This window comes from Homo sapiens, chromosome 4 (assembly GCF_000001405.40).
Source record: "Homo sapiens chromosome 4, GRCh38.p14 Primary Assembly".
Lineage (NCBI taxonomy): Eukaryota > Metazoa > Chordata > Mammalia > Primates > Hominidae > Homo > Homo sapiens.
The window spans coordinates 78,241,478-78,265,415 of NC_000004.12; the positions used below are offsets into that span (position 1 = coordinate 78,241,478).

The 23,938-nt window shown below is 38.7% G+C and overlaps 1 protein-coding gene across 2 annotated transcripts in view; it reads left to right on the top strand.

Moving 5' to 3' along the window:
• FRAS1 (Fraser extracellular matrix complex subunit 1) overlaps positions 1 to 23,938 on the top strand; it is a 486,947-nt gene that overhangs the window by 184,155 nt on the left and 278,854 nt on the right. For both annotated transcript variants that reach the window (NM_025074.7, NM_001166133.2), the window contains exons 4-7: positions 3,756 to 3,848; positions 10,915 to 11,074; positions 13,765 to 13,898; positions 23,548 to 23,631. In NM_025074.7, the coding sequence (NP_079350.5) occupies positions 3,756 to 3,848; positions 10,915 to 11,074; positions 13,765 to 13,898; positions 23,548 to 23,631 (471 nt within the window). The remainder of the gene's footprint in view (positions 1 to 3,755; positions 3,849 to 10,914; positions 11,075 to 13,764; positions 13,899 to 23,547; positions 23,632 to 23,938) is intronic.

Here is a 23,938-nt window from a genome sequence, read left to right on the forward strand (position 1 = left end):
TTTTGATATTACCATGAAAGACATATAATCACCTTAGGAGGGAAATGGTAATAGCCCAGACTAGAGAGAGAAATTGAAGAGATGGGAGTTAGAGGGGAGGAGAGACTGAGTAAGTGAATTAGGAGTGGTTGCTGGACATTGAGGATAACATGAATAGGAGAATGGGAGGCCAGCTGGGGGTTGAAAGACTGGAAGGTAAAGAAGTGCTCAAGGATCTCCCTGGAGGAAATAAGGGTGAGAGGGTGCTAAAAACCAGGAGGCCCAGGTTCATTGGAGTGTGGACAGATTTTAAGGTTGGCTATAACTGTGTGAAATAGAGATGAAAATCGCTTGAACTGAGGTGGTTGAGAGTGTACAAAGATAGAATATCATTTTAATGGGCATTGAAGTTGTCTAGAATGATCTAGACACAGGTAGAAAAAAAAACAGAGATCCAGGTGTCAAGTCTTTACTGAGTGAAAGTGAGAGAGTGATCAGCAAATTTGTGGATGAAGGCAACATAGGAATCAGAGAGCATGAACTCTAAGGAAGGAGGTTCCTTATCTGTAAAATGAGAGGCTTGTACCAGATGATCCAACCATAAGAAACTTTTTCAACTCTAAGATCATGTAAATATTCCACAGAGCTTTTGGGCTCTTTATTTCAAGTAATGAAATAGGATCATAGAATGGAAGAACTAGAAGGGATCTTTAGAAATCACTTAGTCAGACTTCCTCAGTCTGTAAATAAAGAAACTGATTTTTAGTGGTTTAGTCACTTATCCAGAGCTAGGAGGTGGTATGGTCATGTCAAGAACCTTGGGCCTTGGCTCATGTCCCAGTGTGATTTTTACTCTACCATGTTGCTTTTAAGTTTTCCTCTGGGCTTTCAACAGCATGTGTTGCTGTTATTCAGACCTGCTGTGGTACCCTTACATTAGTATGTGGCACAAGTTCATGAATCACCACTGTTCCTAAATTAAATTATTATTTTATTTTAGACAGAGTTTCACTCTGCTGTCCAGGCTGGAGTGCAGTGGTGTGATCTCTGCTCACTGTAACCTCTGCCTCTCGGGTTCAAGTGATTCTCCTGCCTCAGCCTCCCAAGTAGCTGGGATTACAGGCATGTGCCACCACATCCAGCTAATTTTGTATTTTTTAGGAGAGACGGGGTTTCACCATGATGGCCAGGCTGGTCTCTAACTCCTGACCTCAAGTGATCCAACCACCTCAGCCTCCCAAAGTGCTGGGATTATAGGTGTGAGCCACCATGCTTGGCTTGTTACTGTTAATAACTTGTTTTTCTTTTTATCATTTTTTACCTTTTTGAAGCAATTTGTTTTGGCTATGGATTGACTAGAAATAACCTAGTGTCAATGGCAATGCTGAAAGACATATTTTATCATCTGTCATTTATCCATTCTATAATCACAGGTCGTGGATTCTATATCCGTATCTTATATTCATATAGAATAGCTAGCTGGATAGGGACAGAAAGACAGACAGACAGAAAAAGATTGAGAGAAAGAACACAAAGGTATTTAGAACCTTGAATAGTTAACCCAGTTCTGTCAGAAGCTATCCTGTCTAAGGATTTCTGGAGAATATGTCTGCACAAAAGACAATGCCATTCAAAGGAGCACGGCATTACGTGGTAAGGTTTTGGCTGCAAACCTCAATGCAGATAATAATGACATTTACTTAATAAAGTTGTTGTGAAAATTAACTCTCTCTATATATATATATGTATATATCTATATGTATGCATATATGTAGTATGCATATATGTACATATGCATATAAATGTGTGGAGGAGTACCCCACTATTGTAAGCACTCAATAAGTGTTAGCTATAATGATCAAATTATCATTATTGTTGGTGGTTCTCCTAGGTCCTAAGCAAGTAATCTTGCCCCCAGCGATCTTCACTGATGTTTTTTGCCCCTGCAACCACTTTCTAAACCACAACACTGCAAAGCCTGGAGAAGGACTCCTTTGTGTTCCATGCAGCCCACAGCTCACCAAGCCATTCAGGGTTACATGGTTAGGTGGCAGGAACTCCTTGATTCTCATTCTTCAAGCACCCACATGCAAAATTTTTATTCCTCCTTTAACTCAACTCTTTTATGTTCCACCAGAAATTCAATAGATAGACCAAGTTGGGAACCATCCTCTCCCCTCCCGCTACTGCCACTAGCAAATATATATATATATATATACACACAAACACATACACATATATACACACACACATACATATTATTATATTTATAAAATGAGCTTTGAGGGCTAAATCTGAAAGTTAGCTTTTATGTAAAACAAAGAAAACTAATCTGGGGGCATGAAACATTCCTTGAAGTCTTCCATTCTACCTGCCTTTCTCCCTTGCTCCCGGCTTCCATGTTAGACTATCAACACTTAGATCATGTTATTTTCAATCTGTATGAAATTCTTAGTGGAAATTAGGCTAATGTAGTTTCTCTAATTGTTTTAGTGGAAATCAGACAAGTGTAGTTTTATCTTGGGGTTCAGAGGACACTTTTCTGAAAAGTGATTAATATTGCATAGTATGTATAATTTCATAAAATCCCATGTCATATAAGTTTTATCCTTTATCAAAAAAATAGGAATTTGATGATCACTTTATTGATGTATTTATCTGTTTAGTGGGTTAATGGTTGTAAAAACTTAGTCCTATTTCCCATCCACTCTTGTAGATATATGATGTTAGAATTCTCTTGTAGGTACAATTTTTTTAAAAATGAAGCAACCAAAAATAAATAATAAATATTAATAACATTAACACACACGCACACACACACACACAAACTTTTTTCTTTTTATTCTACTGGTTGAATTCTTGGTAGACTTTTATCCTGTGGATAAGTCATGATTTCCTGGCTAATGTAGGATCTCCTACCATTTTTGGTCAAAATCACTAATTGCCTGTTCTGCCACATCACTAGGCTTGAGAAAATCCTAAGTAGAGGAGCAGCATGAGTAGGAAGATCTAATATGAGAGTCGTGGGCCTCAAAGACAAGCTAATGCTCTTCACTCCATATTTTTAACAACTCTTAGATAAACAGATTATTTACAGTGGTGATTGGATGGTTGACATGTGACACCTCCCCAGTAAATCTTGGGGTATCAGGTGGTGGCCTATTCTCTTGATAGTATCAAGAAACACAATTGCAATTATAGAAGCTCTGGGAACAATGTAGATCTTTACTAGAGCTTAGGAATTCTACTCAGCTTACCACAGTGTGTATATATGATACCTCTGCAGAGATATTACTTCCTCTCAGAACTTTGTCCTGCAACCTCCTGTCCCAGGTAAAAGTTACCTATGAGAACTTCAGCTGCTTCACTGGCTGCACTAGGCTGTGTAAGATACCAGACAGCTGGAAGACCTGCCAGCTCTGTGGCCATCCCCCACCTGAGTCTTCTGCCTCTTCCCAGCAGGAGAAAACTGCTTATCTTGTGTAAATCTCCTAGGGTTTCTAGTGAAACAAAGTCTCAAGTTCATCACATGTGAAAAGATGTAGAGTTTTTTTTTCAAGGAAATTACTTTTACAGAGGGGGTTCATTTTATCTTTGAGCGAAGCTTATCTGGACACAGAACCTTTTTTTCAGTCTATTCATTTTATCCCATCTGTTGTTGTCACCTCAGAAACGCATGAGATTTAGTGAATGTAAGATGACTTAGGGTCTGATGAACTATTGTGACTTGGTGTGTGCTGCTGCTGTTTTACTTTGAGCTGCTTTTAAATGCTCAGGGAGAAGTGCTTCAAATAGCTGCCAACCAATGCTGTCCTGAGTGTGTTTTGAGGACTCCAGGATCTTGCCATCATGAAAAGAAAATCCATGAGGTAAGTGTTTTCTGACTCACGGTTGATTCTGTGTCTGCAGATCTCTGACAAGGGAAAAGCTGAATGTTAAACTTGTGTTGATGAGAGTTTTTTTCTTTGCCTGGATTGTGGAGGATCTGAAGCCCATTTGACTTTCTGTGAGCATTTAGGTTTCTTGTATAAGAGTAAAACATTCTGTAGGCTCTACATAAATATTTGTAGATTGAATTTGTGTCTGAGAATGTTGATGTTGAAGAAGTTGTGATGCTGAATAGTAAAAGTACCTCCCTCCTTTTATGTACTACATACATTTTAAATTTGATAGTTACAAACAATCCTGAGCTGGTGAGTAGAGCAGATGTTATTACTCCCATGTTAAATACGAAAAAATTTAATTGCAAAGAGCTTAGGTACTTGCCCAATGTCATATTACTAATAAATGGTATAACCTGGTCTAGAACCCTGGTCTTCTGACTCCTAATTCAGGGCTCTTTTTACTATAGTAGAAATTTTCAACTTAGCAGCCTTGGCATTTTAAGCTTTGTTGTGGGAGCTGTGCTTTGCATTGTAGGACATTTAGCTGCATCCCTGGTCTTTTCCCACTAGATGCTAGTAGCATCCCTCAGTCATGTCAACCAGAAATCTTTGCAGACATGGCCAAATTTCCCTTGGGGGCAAAATGCTCACCTTCCCCCTTTTGAGAACTACAGGACTAGAAATCTTTTCTCAAGTTCTTAAAATTACACTTTCTCATTTCAGATCATTCAGGATTAATTTAGAAATATTAAATATGATTAAAAAGTACCAACTGCAAAGTCTATAATAGAAATTATGAAAATAGACAGTTTATCTTCATTGATATGTAAATGTTACCTGAGGTAGTAGGTACGGTTGAATATGATGGAAAGAGACTTTGCTTTAATCCTCATCTTCCACCTGATACAAAACTTTCCCCAAGTTAGTGTCTCTTTATTCAGGAGAGAGCATAGGTTAGTAGGATTTGATATATCTACTTGAGGCTGCTATTCAGTGTGGGGACCTAAAACTCAGAAAGCACAGTGCTCATTTCCCTGTGGGGCAGGATTATCTTACTCGAGCCACTGTTTCCTAATTACACAAGGAAGCCACTCTTTCACTTCTGCACAATGTGTTGCTGAAAGACATCCAAGCAGGATCTACACTGAGAATGTCTTCAGACCACGTATCACTATGTGCTGCTCGATTCAGCCTGTGTTATGTAGGGTGGTGTTGTCTTTAAATGTCACAGAAGAAAATCCCTATGAACTGAAAAGTGCCTCAGGGCAGAGTGGTGATGAAAATAATGCCAGTTCCGAATGATTATGATAAGTGCATGGTTCAAGGTGAATGATAAGTGCATGGTTCAACCTGAATCTTTCAAGTGAAGGAGTTGTTAGGAGCCAAAATAAGTCCAGGATCTGGGGGAAAAAAAAAACCAGACATATCAAATAAGAGGTGGTACCAGGGACATGGGAGATCAGAATTCAGTAAATCTTTGCATGGACCACACTAATGACATCATATGCTCTCTCATGTCATGTGTGTGCACATGTGCAGTCTTCTTAATTTAAGATGCCTGAGAATATTGACAATATTTTCTATATTTTTACAATTATCTTTCCTGCCTCTCACTTACCTGGCACTTAGCACTGAACTTTTCCCAGAGTAGGTGCTCAATAAACACAGGTGAATAAAAGATTCAAAAAATTAGTAAATCTTTTCTCCAACTTCTCTATGACCTCATCTTAAGGGCATGTTGGTCATTAACCAGTGTGGCTGGTTAGCTCTGGGACCACAGATCTGCCTTGGGTTAGTTAGAAATCCTCCTAGCCTCCCACTTTTGCAGGGAGAGTTCAGAAAGTTCTCCCGCTGGTCTTTCTTCTCCCCACTTCCCTTGTGGTTCATCCCTCTGCAATAATACACCATGTAGAAAGCTCTAAACTGGGTAAGAATATACCCATGTGTTGCTTTTCCATATGTGTCTTTCAAAATTTACTCCCTCTGAAAATGTTATATTTCTGGTATTTGATGTAACTGAGCAAAAGGATGAATTTCAAAACTATAGTTTTTTGGGGAAAAAATCTCTAGTGGATTGCTTCTTCAAATAGAGCTAGAAGATGGATTTTTTTTAAGGCGAGACAAAATCTTCTAATTTTAGTCTTAATAAAGTTAAAATAATTATGTTTCTTGTCTTTCTGTCCTTCCTCTCTTTCTTTCTTCACTTCCTCTAGGTTCTTACCAAACACTCCTTAGTGCATTAATTTTCTTGAGTGGGTTAAATGCTTGTCTGGTCTGGTCTGGGTCTCACCTCATCACTTGCATCACTAGTTTTGTTTGTTTATTTTTGACTCTTGTAGCATTTCCTTTCTTGCTTGTTTGGGGAGCAGTTTCCAGGGTACTTTTCCCTCCTGCTGAATAGCAGTGATCTTCTCTCTTTGGCCTCTGGCTTGCCTCCCCTAGGGCGGGTAATGGAGACTCCCAGTAGCTATAAAATAGCCTGGCATTTTAAGAACTTTGGAATGGTGATCTGAAGTGGAAGCTTTCCCCTAAGACAGATTGAGAAGAGGATTTAGGATAGATTCGGTGTGGCAGGAGGGGAGGCAGTTGAAGTGATACTGTCCCCGGAGAATATGGTTCAAATAAAGGAAAGTGAAGGACTGGCTGAGCTAAGGGCTGCGTGAGAAGACTACCCCTTAATAAAACAGCGGAGCCTTGGGGGAGGACCTCCTTTGCTTGCAGAGGTGGCAGCGTCTTATACAACTGGCATTTCAGCAAGTCAAGACTAGTCTCAAGATCTTTCCTGGAGTGAGGAAAACACTTGAACATTTTGGCTGACTCCAGGTTATTTGAGAGTGTTGCAAGGGTTTATTATAGCCAGGATTTGGGGGATCATTTCATCTATGACCTTCGCAAAGCTATACTTTGAAATTAACTTTTGGATTTGTGCCTCGCCATGCCAACCAGCCAGGGAGGCAAGCCTCAAATGCGTTTTAGAGTTGTTTGAATACTTTTTTTTCTGTGCTTTCCCCACAAATTACTTTGTGAAAGGGAGGGGAAAGGACCATGAATCCCCTTTCTTTTCCTGTTTACTAATCTAACCTCAGCACCAGATAATGTCAAATCTGAGTAGATGGGGCTTGAAGGTTTACTGAAAAATGAAATGGCTTCTAGTGCCCAGCCTGATTGAATGGGGAGTAGGAAGGGACAGGCCTGCTCACTTTGTTTGTGAGGCTAAAAGGATAACTAATTTATGTGTATGAGGCAAGAAATAAGTATTGAGTTCTTCAGCCTTGTTCTCCTCAAAGTAGAGGATGTAATTATAATATGCACTGAACATTCCCAGATATTTAGTATTCTGGATCTATAACTCCATAACAGGAACAAATTATATGAAGAAAAATTGTATTTTTGTTCTGTCAGTAAGCCAGGCAAATGCTTTTTGACCTTATCTTTCTTTTGGACTTATGTCAACAGCCAAGCCAACTTGTTAGTTGACTATGCAGGAGAATATATTTAAGATGTTGTCTGCAGAGTTTGCTTCTGCCCAGTGTCAAGATGTCATGTTTTCGAAACAGTATTAATGAGGTTAAGATGGCACAGGTAAAACCGGGTCCTGTGGGAGCATTGCTTTGTGTATCTATTATTCCTTCATTTTACAGAGCTCTCTTTGCTACTACAGTGTTTATAAAAAATAATGCTTTCATAAACGTGTATGAAGAACTACTGATATATATATATATGCATATATATATATATATATATATGCATGTGCTGATGCCTTGATCTCTAGGCTGGGTGTGTTGCATGCATAATCAATCCTCAGAACACTCACTCTGGGGAAGGAGGTGTCACTGTTTCAAAGTCAAAAGACACAAAAATGGAGTAAACTTAGGTGACTTGTCTCCTGGAGAGATGTGAGAGGGAATTCTTTTCATCATGCTGCACACTTTGGATCACTGTCTGGACTTTCTTCTGTGGCTTTGACATCAAGCAGTGGAGCCTTTTTTTTTTTTTTTTTTTTTTTGAGATGGAGTCTCACTCTGTCTCCCAGTTGCAGTGGTATGATCTTGGCTCACTGGAACCCCTACCTCTCAAGTTCAAGTGATTCTCGTGCCTCAGCCTCCCAAGTAGCTGGGACTACTGGCAACCGCCACCACACCCAGCTAATTTTTGTATTTTTAGTGGAGATGGGGTTTCACCATGCTGACCAGGCTGGTCTTGAACTCCTGACCTCAAGTGATCCACTCGCCTTGGCCTCCCAAAGTGCTGGGATTACAAGCATGAGCCACCGTTGTCCAGCCTGAATGTTTTTCTTAATTCCCACAATTCTCAGGCTTTTGGGAAGGGAGAACCCATTGCTTAATTTTATGTCTTTTGAGTTAGATAATAAATTTACATGATCAGAGAGAGTGGGTACTGAAGAGATCAGCTAATATAGCCCTCTTATTTTACAGATGAACGACAACTTTGGTGATTGGCAGGCTGTTGTTATAATTAATTTTTCTGGTCTCTGTCTGAAAGGTAGTGTGACTGCAATGTTTTGGAAACAACAGTGGTGTTTCTTGGTAGTAACAAAAGTTCTTGTTTTATGAAGTGAAATGTCTAGATGTTTAGAGCAGTCTTCTAATTTTTAATAAAATGAAGTTTACTTCAAGTTGTTCTATATAGTCTTTAAATTAAGACTTTAAGATTTTACTTTAAATATATGTAGTCAAATATATATAATTTAAAGACTATAGTCTTTAAATTAAGACATTAATTTTGACTTTAAGATATATAAATGACTCATTAGATATTTTAAACAATAATTTGCTTTCTGATGACAAAAAATATTTTCTTGGGGAAAATTTGGAAAAGAGAAAAGTATACAAGCAGAAAAAATATCACTAGTAATCCGAATACTCTGAAAACCACTGTTAATGTTCTTTCAGTTTTGGTGGAGGGGTTGGCAGTGGAGATAGATAATACATACAGATCTATGTTTTAACATAATTGGAATTATGCTGTGTTTTATGTCTTGCCTTTTTATATAACATTATATTGTAAATAGTTCCTTAGTGTACTCTTGGAGAACATGATTTCCTGTTATTAGATATTTGTGTAGCTTCCAATTTTCACTAAAATATTTTCAATTTCACTATAAAGAACAATAGATGGCATTTCTTGTATTTAAGCCTTTTGTGTGTCATTAATCATTTTCTTCAGATAACATATAAAAAGTGAAATTAGTAGGTCAAGGCATCTAAAGAGTTTGAGTATTGAAGCTGTGACATCTTTAGTCATTAAAATTTAATTTTAAGTCTTCTGTGTCTAGTGATAAGCCCAGGGGAAATACCACAGATACTGCATCCTCTTTTCAAGTGTGATTATACTGGGGAGGCATCCCCTGGTTGAGTGATTCCAGGTGTTATCGTGAGGGAAGGCTTTGTGTGTGAGAGAATTTCTTTCCCTTCACTGTAGCTTCACCAAGTCTAGGTACCATGAATGTTAAAGTCTTTTCATATCAGATATTTAAAACGTTATAATTTTATAATTAGTATTTTTTACAATTAATACATTTGAACATTCTGTAAGTTTTTGCTATTTTGAAAATTTGAAATGTCTTTTTCTTACTTCTTATAAATGCTTTTATATATTAGAGTTTAGTTCTAATTAATATAATCTGCAATTTTTAAGATCAGTTTGTCCTTTGCCTTTTAATTTTATTTTATATATTTTATGATGTGTTTTTGGCAGATTTAAAAATTTTAACTCATTAAATCCTATCAATTTTCTTTTAAGTTCTTTCTTTGCTTTCATGTGTAGGCCTTTTCAAGCATAAAGGTCAATTGCCCTGTCTTTTATTGGCCCACAGTTTGTGGACTTGCCCATTTCTATGCTGTACTAAATTTGAAACTTATATATAATTGTAGCAGAAGTAAGAATGGATGGGAGAGGACTTGACCTTTGTATCTGTGTCCATTCCTGCTACTTACAGTCAAAACAAGGTGTGGAAGAAGGGAGGAAGTTCAGGAAATCATGCAATAGAAATGGGAGAAGTTTGAGCATCTTTCTATTTTAAGATGTTTAATTGACAAATGAAGATCAAATATAGTCAAGGTGTACAACACGGTTGGATATGCATATATATTGTGTAATAATTACCACAATCAAATTAATTAACTCATCCATCACCCCCCATGCTGTACCTTAGATCCTCAGAACTTGTTCATCTTATAGCTGGAAGTTTGTAGCCTTGGCCAACATCTCCCTAGCCCTGGGTAACACTGTTCTACTCTGGATTGAGCACCAGTACACTGCACACCTGGGTGGCTCTTTAGCAGGCTAGCTCATTTAACCCTCAGAAGAGCCCACTGGTGAAGGGAATGTTGTCATACCATTTTATTATTATAGATCAAGAAACTGAGAGTGAAAAAGATTAAGTCACTTACCTATAGTTTCCAAGGCAGGAAGGGCTGAGCTGGGATCTGTGAATGTGCATGTGGCCAAGTAAATCCTTGGTCTGTGCAACTCAGTGCTTGGGTACATCATTTCCTGCTTGTCCTCCCTGTTGGCTATCACACTTTCTTCAGGGCCATGAGATCACTGGAACAGTTGAGAGAGAGAGAGAGAGAGACAGAAAGGGGGGAGTGGAATATGGGAACTAATCAGGATAAAAAGTAAAGTCAAAGAAAGGAAACAGGATCAGAGAGAGCTACTGAAAAGGATATAGTCATTATGAAGAACACAGTAAACATATGTGTATTTGAATTGGGGCTTTATAGAATGTTTTAAATGGTAGGAGATTAGGTTATTTTTATTTTCTTTTTGTATTTTGTATTTACAAATTTTCTGAAATTTGTAAATAAAAAATCTTCGCGGTAATAGAAGGAGAAGTCCATGTTTAAACTGGCCTTTGACTTGAAGCCTTGCAAATTCCACTCTCAACCTTGCAAGCTCATAGCTTTATTCCACCTTTCCCTGAGCTCCATCCTTAATTTGGATAAGAGAAGATTTGTTTCTATTTGGCTGAATGAAAGCCTGTGTTTTGGCACTAACCTTTTTTTTTTTCTGTCTCCCTAACACACAGCATGGGACAGAATGGGCCTCTTCTCCATGTAGTGTGTGCTCTTGCAATCATGGGGAAGTCCGATGTACCCCCCAACCATGCCCACCGCTGTCATGTGGACACCAGGAGCTGGCATTCATCCCTGAAGGAAGCTGCTGCCCAGTTTGTGTGGGCCTTGGGAGTGAGTATGAGCTTGTAGAAGGGGACCCTCTTTGCTTGGGAGGTTCACATGGCTATCGGGGGAACCAGCCCTCAATATTTCAACATAGGTTCTTTCTATTTTCCCTAAATGTTGGCTGGTCTGAGAAATAGAAAGAGTACAAAGAGAGGAATTTTACAGCTGGGCCTCCAGGGATGACATCACATATCAGTAGGACCGTGATGCCCTCTGAGCCACAAAACCAGCAAGTTTTTATTAGAGATTTTAAAAGGAGAGGGGGTGTACGAACAGGGAGTAGGTCACAAAGACCACATGCTTCAAAGGGCAATAAAGATCACAAGGCAAAGGCAAAATTAGAATTACTGATGAGGGTCTGTGTCCCGCTGTGCACGTATTGTCTTGATAAACATCTTAACGGAAAACAGGGTTTGAGAGCAAAGAACTGGTCTGACCAAAATTTACCGGGCTGGAATTTCCCAATCCTAGTAAGCCTGAGGGTACTGCAGGAGACCAGGGTGTATTTCAGTCCTTATCGCAACCACATAAGACAGAACTCCCAGAGTGGCCGTTTATAGACCTCCCCCCAGGAATGCATTCCTTCCTCAGGGTATTCCTTGCTGGGAAAATAATTCAGCGATATCTCTCTTACTTGCACGTCCATTTATAGGCTGTCTGCAAGAAGAAAAAATATGGCTCTATTCTACCCGACCCCACAGGCAGTCAGACCTTATGGTTACCTTCCCTTATTCCCTGATTATCTTCCCTTATTCCCTGAAAATTGCTTATTCTGTTCTTTTTCAAGGTGTACTGATTTCATATTGTTCAAACACACGTTTTACAATCAATTTGTACAATAGTTGTCCTGAGGTGACATACATTCTCAGCTTGTGAAGATAACGGGATTAAAAGATTAAAGACAGGCATAAGAAATTGTAAGAGTATTATTAGAGAGGTGATAAATGTCCATGAAATCTTCACAGTTTGTGTTCTTCTGCCTTGGTTCCAGCTGGTCCCTCCGTTTGGGGTCCCTGACTTCCCGCAACACATGGCGACACCCCAACTCTTCTCTTTCTTGCTCAGTGTGGCTCAAAGATTTCCTAACCCCATTCCGTATTGGAATCAAGTGCAACACCTTGCACTTGGAAGGGCGCAGTGTCCCAGAGAGTGAGATTGGAACAAATCCTTAAGCGCCCTTCCAAATTTGAGATTCTGTGAGTTTCTGATTTACAGTTCTGCATTCACAGCTCCTGAGAAGCAAGGGAATAGGGAAAAGATCCTTTGATATGATTCCATAAGGCTAAGGTGGTTCCTTTTGCCTCCTTAGTGGACAGAAAAAGGAATAACTCAGTTCTCTGTCTGTGTAGTATCATCAACACTATTTCTGTTGGCTTGTCTTTGAGATGACATAACATCTTTCTCCAAGACACACACAACAGGAAGCATGCCTTTTATTTGTCTTTACTTATTTGTCTTTATTTATGAAATAAAGACATGCTCCCCATGTAGGTGTCACTGAAGAAATTATGCCCACCTAGAAACCAAGACACCCAGATTTTGTTCAGCAAGCCAGAGTCAGACTTTTAGGCCCTCTCCTCAGAATCCACGCTTGTTCCCATACTCTTTTTATTACACTTTGTGGATCTGTGTCCCCTTCCATTTTTATAACTAGGTAGTGTATACCGTATAATAAATAGGAATTATTGTCATTGCTGTATTAGGCACTCTCACAACATGTAATAGCCAGAATACTTTTATTTAACAGCAACTGGAAGGTACACTCTATTCTTGCTTTTTCTCATTAAAAGGATACCTCATTTCTTTCTGATCCCCAGTTATTCCATTTCCAGCAATCCTTTATTTACACTGGAGAATTCCAGGGATGAAAAAATATGCCCAAGAATTGATGAAAGGAAAATGCTTGCCTGATGCATTTCAGATGTCACCTACCAGAAAAGGACTGACAGACATTTTGGGCTAAAAAACCAACCCTACAAGTGAAAATACTTGGAACAACAGAGTTGGGGGTGGTGTGGGGAGTAGGTTGTCTGAGTTTGTGGGATTCTTTCTTAAGTCCTAAGAGGCCTTCTCATTGACTCTCCATGAGAAAGACTTTGGACGTATATTTCCTGGAAAGATTGGAGGATCAACTGGGGCCAACAACATAATTTGCAAAAATGTAGGGTCTCTTGTTCAAAAAGAAAGAGGAGAAAAAGCTTTTTTGTTGTTTTTTTGTTTGCCTCTGTGATCTCTTTCTCTCAACCTGTCATATTTGGCATGTTTTTTAGTTGCTATTTAATGTTTTCCTCCTTTGGGCCTGGGAATGAAGGGTGGGAGGATACCCTCACAGACACCCCAGGCTCTACCCTGTGACTTGGTGCATAGGGCGCATGCAACCTCCTGGCACCAGCCCCCACGAGGGTTGGGGATGACAGCATTCATTGGGATGGAGTGGAGGAGCTGGTAGCTGAGAACTCATCCCAGGAAGCCAGCAGCAGGTGGGACCACACATGAGCTGAGCCTCAAAACTTCACCTATAAAACACAAATTCAGAGATTTCAAGGTAGTGACTGCAGAGCATTGAACACCAAATGCAGGACCTCCTTCTGTGCACTGGGCTTCTGACCAACTGCACTGGCTGCACGCCCATGCAGTCAGCCCTGGGATCAACAAATGCCATCCCCCTAGTAATCCTTGTTTCTTTGACCTTCCAGAACCCTGTTCCTATGAAGGCCATGTGTTTCAGGATGGGGAGGACTGGCGGCTGAGCCGGTGTGCCAAATGTCTGTGTAGAAATGGGGTTGCCCAGTGCTTCACAGCTCAGTGTCAGCCTCTATTTTGTAACCAGGTAAGGAAGACAACCTCAGCATGCAGCCTTCACGGGCTATTGAAGAACTTGGAGTCTCTTCTGAGATTATGGCAGGCAGGCCTCAGAAGCACTAGAAACAAGAAGCAAAGCCCTTTTTGTTTTCCTCATACTTTTGGAGACCACCTCTGAGACATTTCTTTTACCCTTAGAAACTACAGATAGGTCTAATTACCAGCCACTTAGGCTAATTGTTATATAATGCAACTGAGCCTTGAGGATTCACACAAGGAAGCCTCCAGCTCTAATGGCAGATGCTCCAAAAATGTCAAGCTAAACATCTGCAAAATTCAATAATGTGATTAGATTTGTTATTGTTTTTCATTGCATAGGTATAGTCTGCTTTTTTAAGACATAATGCATATCTTTGAACATGATTATCCAGATGTACACAATTTAATTCTTATAGGATAATGATTCAAATTATGAAAGGATTTTCTCTGAGGACGTTTAAGATAGTGGGATTTTGTTGTTCATTTAAAGCTGATCTGATTCTCAAAACATTAGACTCTTCACACAAATTTAGAAGAGAAAATCAATTGTAAATAAATGTGGTATACGTGGTATTTTATATTATAGTTTTTTACTCTTCCAGAGGCTCGAATGGCTATTCCATGGCAGTTGATAGGTAACCATGAAAGGAGTTTGCCTCCAGTCAAAAAATAGCTCATTTTTTGATCTAAGGAAAAGCTGGAAGCCAACATTCAGTTGATACAAAGCAGTACTTTGTGTCAAATGAAACAAAATCAATAACATAGCATATTGTGACAATTGGGCAATATTTTTAAAGGTGACAAAAGGCAATTAGACAAGAAATGCTAAATGCCAAATAAAGGAGAAATGTATCTAATTGAAAGACTAGATTGTATTATCCACACCACACCAACTACTGTGCTCATGTCTCATCTCCCAATTCATCACAAAGCCATATCCTTGCTTTAAGATGGCAGATGAGCTTGTTCATAGAGTTGCACAGTGTCTTGCTCTAATGCTCTTACATTTGGAGGACACTCTAGTGTTGAGGCATTCTGATTAAGCCCATTTTGGGGCCTAGTCCCTTGGGGTAGGAAGGATAATTAAGCAGTTTGCCACCATAACAATAAGGGAGGTGGGAAGGAGGAATGGAAAGAAGACTCCATTGGAAACCTTCTGCTTTAAATCCTCAAAAATGTAACCTCAGACTGCATATTAGGGGACCAGCTACTGGAATAATTGAAAGTACTGTTTCTCATATTTAAAATCATTAAACATAAACTCTAGCTTCATGCACAATATTCACTTACAGTTTGTATTGATATACATAATTAATGTAAAAAGATGAAATTTGGTACCATACTTTAGAGCTAATTAATATGCAAGCAATTCTGAAGACTTGGAAATAGATTTATTTTAATCACTGTTGTATCATTAAGTCTATATTCTTGCCATTACATACATAAAAAAACTCAACTGTGAGATCATTTAGAACCATTTTTCTTGATTTATTATCATTATTAAATTTTGGATGTTTATCATACCTGATGATAGTTTGTTAACAAATACACTGGATGTTCTGATGATCCAAAGGGGTGCTATCAAATTAGCGCTATTGTTGGAAAATATCACCCCACCTCTACCATACCTACCACCACCACCATCACTACCACCATTTTGGGTGTTTACTATGTGTCAGCCATTAATTATAAGAGCTTGTAAATTCTTATAACAGTCCTACAGAGTAGGAGCTATTATTATGATTTCTATTCTATAGCTGATAAAACTGAGGTCCAGAGAGTGTAAGTAACTTGCTCAAAGTGTCAGCACTTTTAACCTAAACTGTTCTACATTGCAATCTCAGAAGACTATATGTGACTTATATTTTTAATCAGTATGCTACTACTCCCAGAATAATGAGTTACACATTTATATATAATACTGGCTGGTGCAAAAGTAATGGCCATTACCAAGGCCATGATTACTTTTGCACCTGCCTAATAATAACCATAATAATGATGTTTGCTAACATCAAGCCTTCCAAGAATGTTATATACATTACATCATTAAATATAAGGGAAACACAAGTTTATCAGTACAAATGTATTTTCAGGTCTTGAATTCTGGAAAAATTTGCAACCTGTCTTCAAGGATTTTCATGATTTTTAATGTAAGGTTTTTATTTTTATTTTTTAAGTTTCAAAAGGAATTTTGTAATCATTAAGGAAAGTTTGGCAAGGGTGGACAAGCTGAAAGGAAAACAATCACCCATATTTCCACCATTCAAAAAGACCAAGATAGATTTGGTGGTGGAGAGGGGAGGAGAATTCATTCCAGTCTTTTGGTAAGAAAATGTAGATATGTTTGTTAGCATAGTTATAATCACATTTTAAAAATTGGTGATAATCCTTGACAAGAGGAGAAATTCCTTGTGTTCATATAAGGGGTTATTCTTCTAACGAAGGATGTAAATTCATACTGAAATTGCCTGCTTTCAACTTTTGTCCAGATTCTTTGTAAACAGAGCCATAACCATAACCCTTCCACATTTCTGTAGGCTCACTGAAATTGTTTGTTCAGTCTGATGAGAGTTCTTGAGAGATTTTTAATACCTACTTTTACCAGATCTAATATTAATTAATCCGAGTAGTTTGAACTTCATCTTTGGATGTTTTTTCAAGAAAGATAGATGAGCCAGGCATGGTGGTTCATGCTTGTGATCCCAGCACTTTGGGAAGCCTACAGGGGTGAATTGCTTGAGCCCAGGAGTTCGAGACCATCCTGGGCAATGTGGCAAAACCCTGTGTCTACAAAAAATGCAAAACTTAGCCGGACATGATGGTTCATGCCTGTAGTCCCAGCTACTTGGGAGGCTGAGGTGGGAGGATCTCTTGAGCCTGGGAGGTTGAGGCTGCAGTGAGCCGTGATCATGTCACTGCACTCCAGCCTGGGTGGCAGAGCAAGACCTGTATCAAAAAAAAAAAAAAAAGAAAAAAGAAAGATAAATGATTGGTAAGTCTTCTGAGCCTTTACGCATTTGAGTATGATTTTCTTGTTGCTGTCATACATGAAAGACAATTGGGGGTATCTAAAATTTGGAAGGACTATAATCTCTTCCCATCCTGACCCTATGGACTCCTTTCCACTGAATTTTGGAATTTAGTGCCATGGAGGAGAAATCTGAGGTTTGTCTGCTTTCTATTGTATTACATGCAGCTAATTTTACTCTATTGCATTCTTGTGGGATGTTTCTTTTCTTTTTTTTTTTTTAGATATTCTTTAAATTTTTATTTTTTTCATCCTTTTTTAACTTTTATTTATTTTTATTTTTATTTATTTATCTATTATTATTATTATACTTTAAGTTTTAGGGTACATGTGCACAATGTGCAGGTTAGTTACATATGTATACATGTGCCATGCTGGTGCGCTGCACCCACTAACTCGTCATCTAGCATTAGGTATATCTCCCAATGCTATCCCTCCCCCCTCCCCCCACCCCACAACAGTCCCCAGAGTGTGATGTTCCCCTTCCTGTGTCCATGTGTTCTCATTGTTCAATTCCCACCTATGAGTGAGAATATGCAGTGTTTGGTTTTTTGTTCTTGCGATAGTTTACTGATAATGATGATTTCCAATTTCATCCATGCCCCTACAAAGGACATGAACTCATCATTTTTTATGGCTGCATAGTATTCCATGGTGTATATGTGCCACATTTTCTTAATCCAGTCTATCATTGTTGGACATTTGTGTTGGTTCCAAGTCTTTGCTATTATGAATAATGCTGCAATAAACATACGTGTGCATGTGTCTTTATAGCAGCATGATTTATAGTCCTTTGGGTATATACCCAGTAATGGGATGGCTGGGTCAAATGGTATTTCTAGTTCTAGATCCCTGAGGAATCACCACACTGACTTCCACAATGGTTGAAGTAGTTTACAGTCCCACCAACAGTGTAAAAGTGTTCCTATTTCTCCACCTCCTCTCCAGCACCTGTTGTTTCCTGACTTTTTAATGATTGCCATTCTGACTGGTGTGAGATGGTATCTCATTGTGGTTTTGATTTGCATTTCTCTGATGGCCAGTGATGGTGAGCATTTTTTCATGTGTTTTTTGGCTGCATAAATGTCTTCTTTTGAGAAGTGTCTGTTCATGTCCTTCGCTCACTTTTTGATAGGGTTGTTTGTTTTTTTCTTGTAAATTTGTTTGAGTTCATTGTAGATTCTGGATATTAGCCCTTTGTCAGATGAGTAGGTTGCGAAAATTTTCTCCCATTTTGTAGGTTGCCTGTTCACTCTGATGGTAGTTTCTTTTGCTGTGCAGAAGCTCTTTAGTTTAATGAGATCCCATTTGTCAATTTTGGCTTTTGTTGCCGTTGCTTTTAGTGTTTTAGACATGAAGTCCTTGCCCATGCCTCTGTCCTGAATGGTAATGCCTAGGTTTTCTTCTAGGGTTTTTATGGTTTTAGGTTGAACGTTTAAGTCTTTAATCCATCTTGAATTGATTTTTGTATAAGGTGTAAGGAAGGGATCCGATTTCAGCTTTCTACCTATGGCTAGCCAGTTTTCCCAGCATCATTTATTAAATAGGGAATCCTTTCCCCATTGCTTGTTTTTCTCAGGTTTGTCAAAGATCAGATAGTTGTAGATATGCGGAGTTATTTCTGAGGGCTCTGTTCCATTGATCTATATCTCTGTTTTGGTACCAGTAGCATGCTGTTTTGGTTACTGTAGCCTTGTAGTATAGTTTGAAGTCAGGTAGTGTGATGCCTCCAGCTTTATTCTTTTGGCTTAGGATTGACTTGGCAATGCGGGCTCTTTTTTGGTTCCATATGAACTTTAAAGTAGTTTTTTCCAATTCTGTGAAGAAAGTCATTGGTAGCTTGATGGGGATGGCATTGAATCTGTAAATTACCTTGGGCAGTATGGCCATTTTCACCATATTGATTCTTCCTACCCATGAGCATGGAATGTTCTTCCATTTGTTTGTGTCCTCTTTTATTTCATCGATCAGTGGTTTGTAGTTCTCCTTGAAGAGGTCCTTCATATCCCTTGTAAGTTGGATTCCTAGGTATTTTATTCTCTTTGAAGCAATTGTGAACGGGAGTTCACTCATGATTTGGCTCTCTGTTTGTCTGTTGTTGGTGTATAAGAATGCTTGTGATTTTTGTACATTGATTTTGTATCCTGAGACTTTGCTGAAGTTGCTTATCAGCTTAAGGAGATTTTGGGCTGAGACAATGGGGTTTTCTAGATATACAATCATGTCATCTGCAAACAGGGACAATTTGACTTCCTCTTTTCCTAACTGAATACCCTTTATTTCCTTCTCCTGCCTAATTACCCTGGCCAGAACTTCCAACACTATGTTGAATAGGAGTGGTGAGAGAGGGCATCCCTGTCTTGTGCCAGTTTTCAAAGGGAATGCTTCCAGTTTTTGCCCATTCAGTATGATATTGGTTGTGGATGTTTCTTTACCTTTATAATTCAAACGTCTTTCAGAATATTTCTAGGTGAGGTATCTTTTTATATATTTTTGTCTGGAATATTATGGAGCTCTTTTAGACTGTATTCCAGTTTTTGAAATGTTTTCTTCAGTGATGGCTTTGATTAATCATATCTGTTCCAATTATTCTCACTTCTCCAGAAATATCTATGACTCTTAGATTGCTCCTCTCTGTTTCCTTCTCTTTATAAATCATGTTCTCTCTCATCATTTTTCACTGTGCCTTTCCTCTGCATGGCGAGATTTTCTTAAGTTTATATCTAGTATCTCTAATACTGATTTTAATTTGATAATTTTGCTTTAATTAAGTCTTTTTTATTTCTACTATCATTGGTTCATCTACTTTTTTATCCTGTTGATTTTTTATTGCTTCCTGCTTCTGTTTGATAAAGTCTGAATATTCTTGCATCTTACTGAACTTACAAAATGGCTTTTAAACATTTTTGTTTAGATCCTGTAGTAAATAGTTTTCAGAAGTCTGCTGTTTCTCTGAATCTTTAGAGTGTTACTCCTTTGTCTTTGATGGGATTCTGGACATGCTATCCCCAAATATAGCATCTTGGCATATTGAATATTTTAAGCAGAAGGAATTTGAGTAAACGGGAGTAGCAGGAAAATCACTTTGACCTTCCCCCTGCGCTTCTACCTTGAAGCAGGTCATGAAGCTTAGGAAGCATTTTCAGATCTTTCCCTAAAGCAGGTTTTAAGACTCTCATGTGAGAGATGCTGTCCTTACACCCATACAAAAGAAACACCCTTATCTCCGAAGACACAGGGACACAGAAAAAATCTGAACAAATACACCTTGCAAATTTTTCCCCAGTATGTTATCATTAGATCATGCTTTTTGCCCAATGGAATGACTATCCATTCTTTGTCACAGCTACTCTAAAAAAACACTCAGGTTTAAGTGTTTCTTTGGGTCTTCATTTCCTTATGAAGGTTCCTGTGTCACATAAAACTTAAATAAGTTTTTATGCTTTTCTCTTGTTAATCTGCCTCAGCTATGAACTTAGGATGAGTAGAAGATATTTTTCCTTTCCTACCTATCATTCTTCAGAGTTTTCTCCCAAGTTCCCTTCTTTCTATTTACTCATCCTTCATCAAGAAAAATCAGACTATAGTCACTGCTTGAAAGCTGCAAGGGTAAGTAGATTTATAGCCAGATGCTAGGAAATAAGCATGCCACCTAATCCAAGGGTCTGGCAAGTTTTCACTTAGTGTAGTTACATTGACTGAGATCATTTCTTTTTCTTTCTCCACTGCCCAGCCCTCTTATCTTCTGATCACATGGAACAAAAAACTCAGATCCTCAGCCTGCACTGCTTTGAAGGCTCTTTCCATGTCTCTCTCTGACTGTGATTCTTTACACCGGGGCACTCTCCTTCCTCACTGCTTTTCATCACTCCCTCTTCTTCCCCAGCACACATACTTCCCACTCATGTTTTATTGTTTGACATCATGGGCTCTGACTAGATGCAGAAAGAAAGATATTAAGGGAGGTGAAAGGCTAGGGCTAACTCTTTGCCTCAAACAGCAGTGGCCACACATTGGAGGGAGGAAGGCCATATTCTGTTAGAGCTAGGAAGGTGGAAAGTTGGGAAGAGATGATGGTTCTTATTTTTATTTAGGCTTGCAATGGCAGGCCATAGAATGTCTTAGGGTCAGTGGGATTTCCTCCTGGCAATGGCAGGAGGTGGACTGTTTGTCTTACTCTTTGGTGGTGGGGTTTTAATCTCTTTCTATATTTTCAAGAGTATTGTGCTGGGGAGAAATTTTGTCAAGAGCTTTCATCCATAATACACTATAAACTTCTTTATCATAAGTATTTTTATTTAAGGAATACTGAAAACCATAGCCGAATACATCTTTAGTGATAGTCCTACCCCAAATTGTAGTGGCATTAGTAATATGTTTTAGTACTAAACTCCTGTTTACTGAGGGCACCATATTAGACCTAGGGTTGGCAAACTTTTTCCATAAAGAACCAGATAACAAACATTTTTAGCCTTGTGTGCCATACAGTTGGAACAACTTACTCAATTATACCATCGTAGCACAAAACCAGCCATAGACAATATGTAAATGAATGGGCATAGCTATGTTCCAGTAAAGCTTTATTTACAAAAACAGGCAGTGGGCTGGATTTAGCCCACAGACCATTGTTTGTTGGCCCGTGTATTAGACTCTGTGGTTAGAAGGGCATGTATATGGTGGTCAGAATGATAGAATTCAGGTGTATGGTAACAACAAAAGTATACTGTCAAAAAGCCTTTCCTATCTCTGCTCCACCTCCCTACTCAGCTTCTTCTTACTTCCTCTCCAGTTCTGGCTGTAAAGCACCAGCCCAGATGGATCTCAGCTCTCAATCGTGTAGTTCTCTTGTTTCCTGAAAATTTTTTCTTTAATGCTTTTCCTTCCTGCTCTTGTTGGTTTATATTTTTGAAGAAAGATTCTGTTTTGATCAATACAATGTATAATTAGATGTTGCCAATAAGATTTGGAAAGCACAATTTGCCCTATATCAACCACCATACAGGTAATACCTCCCTCCCTGCATACGCTCACGGGGACTCTGCTACAGTTCTTGAGTCTACTCCACGTTGCTTAAGATAGATTGATGCTAACTCTATGCCTATTCAAGATTTGTGATTTTGACATTTGTTTCCTGTTTGTCTGACATTGTGTAAGGCTTAGTTCATTTGTTTATTATAATAAAGTTGCTGAATAGTGTAACATCAGCTAACCTTCATTTTCTCACTGAAAGCTTATTAAGCTGAAGAGATCTGTCTGTAGTCAAGAAACACTAAATGATTTCAGTGCAAGTTCAATTTCCACATATTCCATTAAACAATCAGTGGTCATAATACTTTGCATATAGAAAAATAAAGAAATAAAACAACCTAAAACAGAGAAAATAGTTGTCAATTTAATTCTAGTGGTTCAGGCATTTGAAATAAATCCCAGTTAGGTAGTAATACATGAATACAACTGATCATATATAATGGGGTTAAAGAATTGCTGAGGTATGACTGGGGTTTTCCACGAAAAATTAAAAGTTCTGTGACTCCACCCCTCCCAAGTAGACTGGCCTTCTTGTTCTTGCAGCATGAATACCAGAGTAACAATGACAATAAAATTGTGTTTTCTACTCCTCATAAGAGAAAGTGAAGACAACTGTTCCAGATTTATCTTCTGTATAAGATCTACCACTTCTTAGTTATTGACACTTGGTTTGTTCTCACCATTTCCTCTGCCTTTCATGTCTCCTTTCCTGACATTGAAGAAGGCTGTAGTGATAAGTCAAAGTGAGAGGCTGACTCTTTGGCATTAATGAAAATTAAAGAAAGAAAATTCTTCTTAGGGCAGCAGAGACAAATAGTCTGATATTCTGGGAGTGGTGGTTGTGGCAGAGGTGAGAATGTAGGGACATAGAGTAGCTGGGAAAGGGTTCTTTGGGCATTTAATCTGTCACCCACATTTCTCTGCACTGGCTTATTCCCAGATACCTAGAGATATGAGTGATTTTTTTTCATGTGAAAGACCTCTCCAATGCACATATAAATATGTGTCCATTCATGTAAATAAATTTATACATTTATATATGCAAAATAATAGTGAAGTAGCTTATCAAAGGAAGGATACCTTCACTTTTGAGTTTCAGGATGATTCAGCAGGAGTATCAATGTTCTTAAATGTTGGTATGGTTGGTACTCAGAAGTCCTGCTGCCAACCAGTTACCATTACCAAGTTAGCTGTGTGACCTTGGGCAAGTTACACACCTCTCTGGTCTTTACTATTCTCTTTTGTAAAGCAAGGATAAGAGCATCTACTCATAGGGTCATGTGAAGCACTTAGAACAGTGCCTGGAAGACACCAAGAACCATTATTATTGTTATTTGTGCTTTTCTTTGTTTTTAAAATAAGACAGGACTTGAGGCATGTGCAAACTTCTTAAGGGCACACTGACCTTGGAATTGTTCATTCTTATCAGAGTCCCAGGTGACTAAGAAATGTTAAATGAGAGGCAAGTGCTGTTATAGATGCTTGGGGGCATGATTTAGTTGGCTGTGAATGAAATTTTCCTGCTGTTGTGGATCTTATTAATATCACTTTGTGATGGATTGTTCCTGTTCTGCGTGTTAAGGATGAGACTGTAGTCCGAGTCCCTGGAAAATGTTGCCCGCAGTGCTCTGCAAGATCCTGCTCTGCAGCTGGCCAAGTATACGAGGTAAGCTTTCATGCTCCCCATGTAGGTGTTTTGACATCCGTTCTCACACATCTGCCCTCCACCCACTCCAGCCACCATAAGTCACCACCCTCATGTCTGACTCTGCCAGGAATAGTAACTCAGTACATAAACAGCTTTTCTCTTCTCTTCACAGAAAACTTGTAGGAAAAAATTAAGTTGAAGAGGATTAGAAATATAAAGGAATGTGCTGGCAAGCAGAACCTAGTTTAAGAACCTTGGTGAACTTACTGTTCACATGTCTTGAGGGGGAAAAAAAGGGCTATTATTGATTACCATCAGTTTACAT